General features: G+C 38.6%; 1 annotated feature.

Annotated features, from left to right (window-relative positions):
- Nucleotides 1,375-2,574: an enhancer, noted in NCBI's record as "CDK7 strongly-dependent group 2 enhancer chr2:104051012-104052211 (GRCh37/hg19 assembly coordinates)". NCBI's record gives its function as "activates an origin of replication core promoter dependent on BRD2, BRD4, P300/CBP, MED14 and CDK7 cofactors, with strong dependence on CDK7, by STARR-seq in HCT116 cells {active_cell/tissue: HCT116}" and the evidence as "EXISTENCE:reporter gene assay evidence [ECO:0000049][PMID:35650434]".

A 5,468-nucleotide genomic window follows, 5' to 3' on the forward strand; every position in this document is an offset into this window, starting at 1 on the left:
TATGTCACTTGCCTTTTGTACATAGACTGATGCATATCTTCTGAGTGTTTTCATTTTTGTACACTCTTCCTAAACACACTTATCCATTTCAACTAATTAAATTATCCATTGTATCTATTACCTACCCACATTTTTCTTGACAGCATAAAGCTGTCTTCCTCTGAATATGTTTATCCTCCTTTAAATCTTTGCCTTGACCTTCACTGTCCCTACATATTCATCTGATTTCTTTTATTTTCACTTTCAACAATTTCCCAATTTCCAATGTAATAATGTAGTCATGTATGAATAGAAGACTGCATTCTAAGTCACAGGACTAATATTTGCAACTCTCCTTTTATTTGATCTTGAATATTTTCTCTGCCTTTCTGTGACTTGAGTATTTGATTTGTAAAATTATTTTAATAATATCCAATTTTTCATATCTCATGGAAAGTCTGAAGGAATAAAAGATTAGTATATGAATCTATTTTGTGTATAGCAACATACTGGTAAATAGACATAATGTATAATATTGTCATTATACTGCATTACTCAGCCATTATGTTTTGACCTCTACACTGTCATTTATTGTCCTCAAGCTGTTATTTTCCTTGTTGGTCTAAGTAAAACCTTCATTCATTTATTCAATAAGCTTTTAGTGAATTGCTGATCATGATCCAACCCTTATATTGGGAACTGTGGATATAACTTCAAGAAATAGGGCTCTATGATTGTCCTCACCATGGAGGACCTACAAATTAGTTCCTAAGACAAAGAGAATGTTTTAACCAGGATAGCCTAGGGTCTGCTGCAGTGACAATTAACCTCCAACTCTCAGGGACTTAACCCAATGTGGTAGGTAGCCTCCACAGATGGCCAGCAGCAAAGCCTCCTCTCCCTGTGTGCCTGTGTTAAACTTCTCAGGAGGGATGAAAACTCCCTTTGAATCTGCTCTGTCCTTGTGACTGCTTTGGCCAACAGCATATGCGGGTTCTAGACCTAATTCTTAAGAGACCTGGCAGTCTCTGCTTTTGCAGAGACCTGGAACACAGCCACCATGCTTTAAGAAAGTTCTGTAGAAAGTCCCTGAAGCATGAGAACACATGAGGGAAGGAGACCATATGGACTGAGACCAATTGAAGGAGTGAGGCCATATGGAGAGGGAATGAGCCCATGGAAGAGAACGGAAGCCAGAGTGAGCCTAGGTGAGACTAGTAGAACTTCTTAGCAAACCTGCTGAATCATGAGAAGTTGTCAATTGCTATTCTTTTAAGCTACTACATCTTGGGTGGCCTTTTATTTATTTATTTATTTTGGAGACAGAGTCTTGCTCTGACACCCAGGCTGGAGTGCAGTGGTATGATCTCAGCTCTTGGGCTGCCTTTTGTTACATAGCAATAACAACTAAAACATAGTACAAAAATTTAATTCACTCATGCTACCTGCTCATCCTGTGTTTGGCAGAAAAGCTGTGTTCCATAGAGTCACACAGGAGCTCAGATTAACAGAAGAAACACTATGTTATAGCTGCCCCATGTGTAATACCAGGCCTCCTTTGTCACTGAAGCAGAGGAAAAGAGCAATTAAATGTGTTTATGTTCTGGAAGTGACCCCTTTCACTTCTGCTCACCACGCCTTGGCTAAATCTGGTAATACGGTTCCAAATAACTGCAAGGGGGTAGAGCAGTGTAGTCCTCCCATGTCCCCTGAGAGGAAAGGGAAATCCAAAGTAGATGAGCACTAGAATATCCTAGGGCATGGAACCTCACAATATAGTGTGCAAAGTGCTAGAATAAGTAAAAATGAGTCCTACCCTAGGTTACTCAAGAGAGTTCCTTTAAATGAGCTAACAGCTCAATTTAAAAGTGAAAGAATAAAAAGGGTAATGCAACAGAGAAAGAAGGTAGGGTCCTTGCAGCCAAAGGGAGCAGTACGGTCAGCAGCATACAGAGGCATGATGGCATGATGAGGCATGATGAGTCATGGTGCGGCATGATGAAGCATGAGGCACAACAAAGGCATGATGAGGTATGACAAAGACATGATGAGTAATGATGAAGTATAATGAGGCATGGTGAGGCATGATGAAGCATAATGACCTATGACAAAGACATGATGAGTCATGATGAAGCATGGTGAGGCATGATACATTCTGAAAAGGGAAGTAGTGCGAGTGGTTGCAGCATAAGTTAAATATCTAGAGATGAAAGTAAAGAGGTAAGTATGTACTATATTTTGAAGGGCTTCATAGAATGCTACTAGGTTCTACTCTGTAAATTATAATGACTCCAAAGGAAAACTTCAAAAGAGGGATAATCTGGACATATTTACAACTTAATGAAGAAACTGTGCAAGTGAAAAATGGGTTGGAATATAGGAATGTACATAGCAGAAAAACTATGAAGACATGAAAATGGTTTTGATGTAAGATGACAGACAATGAATATGAAGGGCAGATTGGAAAGGTAATTCTGAAGTAGAATCAAGAAAAGGTGACCACCGATTTTAGAAATATGGAAAATAAGTGAGAAGAAGAAGACAGGAATAATTGTTGGATTTATTGCTTAAGATACACATTGAGAACACAGAATATGTATCAGGTTTGTGCTGAGAAGAGAGAAAAAGACATTGAGTTCCATTTCAGACATACTAGGCCTGGTGTCTATGGTAAATCCAGATAAAAAAGTGATGCAGGATTGGGCAGAGAGCCTTGAAGTCAGGACGTTAGAGATGAGCATACAGGTGAAATCACTCAGGAAGTAGAAAACGTGGATCCAGAGAGGAGTGCATCACCATAAACCCTGGAGAATCCCACGTTCAATGGCAGACTAGAGAAGAAGGGGGTTCTGGGATTTTACCAATTTCAGAGTTTGAGCTGGCATATTGAGGAAAGGTGTAAGCACAATGATTACTGATTTTAGTTACCTTCCTTCTAGTTGACTAAATGTACTAGTTTGTGATTTCAGTCACAAAAACATAAATCTCAAAGAACATAAATATCATATTTATGTTTTACTGATTTTCGAAAATTTTATGTTTGAGGCTAACAGCTTCAAGAAAAAATACATCTTAAAGAACCTAGTAATCTAATTACATCATTGAAGATCACACACTAAAGGAGGAAAGGATGGTCATGTCCATTTTTTATTTTCTATTATTTTATAAAGATAAGATGAAGAATAATAATTTGGCTTCTGGTTCCCTACAGCATCTGATATAGGAGTCTGCCTAAAACAGATTCCGGAATTGAGTGGCTCAGTTAGTAATTCAGTCCAAAGCAGAAAACAGTGCTTTCCTTCAATGTTTTATTAGATATCAAGTTGAAGGTTATGGTGCGACTTAGCACATTACTGGCTACCTAAGCAAGTTCCTTCCTCTTTCCCCTGTTGGAAGGATGGGGTTTACCCAGCTCTATTTGAGATCTGTGGTTATTTTGATGTAGCCAGTCTAATGTCATTAGACAGGAAAATCTGCACTTGAGCCAAATTACACAAGTGTGTGTCCCGGCACTAACTTTAATGTGCACCTGGGTTTCAAAAAGGAAAAACAGAAACCCAAATTCCTTTCTTTTTCTTTTGGGATTCAGCCCTAACACCATTTTGTTTAAATTTCATAGGTTTAAGTTTCATCAAAGTAGAGTTTGTTTATGTAAAATTACATACCAGATGTGCACTGCCATGGAAGTTGTGGGGTATTTTATTGCCAATATGGTCCTTGTGGATTCCACAATTGTAAACTGAAACCAGGTTGTCTGTGGTTGAAACCATAGACAGTGTAGAAATGTGGTAATATAAGGCCTATGATATCAAAGACAGATCTAATTTTTAAAAAATCTCTTTTAGAAATGGATATCTTAGAGCTTATAAAAGTTGGAGTTTGAAGAAGTGCAAATTAGTGGCAAGATTTTACATTTTTAAAAATATTTTGATGACTCTTGCCACCAGCTGGGCCTATGCTATTTGAGGTGAGATAAAGTACTATATGAGGTCGCTGAGCATAAGTGACATTCTTCTTTTGCAGTAGGGATTGTCAACTTTAGTGCACAGCAATCTCACCTACAGGGTTTGTTAAAATGTAGATGGATTGATGGGCTCCACCCCTGAGTTTCTGAGTCAAGTCTTGGGTACAGTCCAATGATTTGCATTTTTATCAAGTTCCTGGGTGATGCTATTGCTGCTGGCGCCAGGGCCACCCTTTGAGAACCTGTTCATGGCTGATTGATTATCTGGCCAAAGCAAAACTGACCCATGACCGGATGCCCAACGATCTGATGTGAAAAGTTGAATTGAGCCAATGAGCTGCTGCTTTTCAGGAATTTCAATCACCACCAGTGATCAGTGAGGGAAAATCTAAGACAGAACAGTGAAGTAGGATGTTACAGCAAGCCAAACACAAGAACAGTGGTTCTAAAACTCCATCCTGCAGCAGGATCATCTGGAATGCTTAAAGAAAGAAGGTTTCAGAACCATTGCATTAGGTAAGTAGAGGGGATGAGAGAGCAAAATTAGTAAATAGCAGATGAAGCAAATTCATAGGTGTCCAAAAGGAGTAAACAACTAGAACAGTGTCCTCAAAGTGTGATCTCTAATGAGAAGTATCAGCATCAACTGGGAAATTATTGAAAATGAAAAGTCTTGGGCTCAACCCTGAGTCTACTGAATCACAAATCCTGAGGTTTGGGCTTAGAAAACTGTCTGACAGGACCCCAAGATGATTCTGACTCATGCTAAATTTTAGGAACCCATGAACTAGAGTATAGCTGTATTGATTTAGTGACTCTACCTACAAAAGGAAACTTCAGATCTTGTATTTATGACGACCAGTGATATTATTTTACCTCTTCTTGAATTTCCACAAAATTCTTTTTATATTACCATTTAAAACTTTTGAATAAACCCTTTTCTCTGAATGTGGCTTGAGGGCTTACTGCTGCATGCAAATGACTATACTAACTTAAAGTTAATAGAAAATTTCAGCCCAAGAAAGAGGTGATGAATCAAAGAACAATTATCTGCTTTAAACAAATCCCATCCTCAGAATAGTCACCTCTGATTGTTCTTTAGAATCACCTGAGGAACTTTTAACAATTCTAATACCTAGAACATACCATCAACATATATCAGATTCTCTGGGGTTGGGGCCAGACTTCATATTTTTTCAAGGTGATTTTAATGAATAGCCAAGCTTAAGAATAACTCCCTTATTCCCAGAAAGCAGTTTCTCAAAATGCAGATTTGGAAAACACAATCAGTCTTTTTTTTTTTTTTTTTTTTGAGTCAGGTTCTCGCTCTGTCACCCAGACAGGAGTGCAGTGGCATGATCTTGACTCACTACACCTCTGCCTCCCAGGCTCAAGCCATCCTCCTACCTCAGTCTCCCATTCCTAGCAGCTGGGAGTACAAGTGTGTGCCACTGTGTTCAGCTACAATCAGTAATGTTTAAGGTGTCATGGGATATTGGCAAGATTCAATGTGCCTGGAGAAGAA

This window comes from Homo sapiens, chromosome 2, assembly GCF_000001405.40.
Source record: "Homo sapiens chromosome 2, GRCh38.p14 Primary Assembly".
Lineage (NCBI taxonomy): Eukaryota > Metazoa > Chordata > Mammalia > Primates > Hominidae > Homo > Homo sapiens.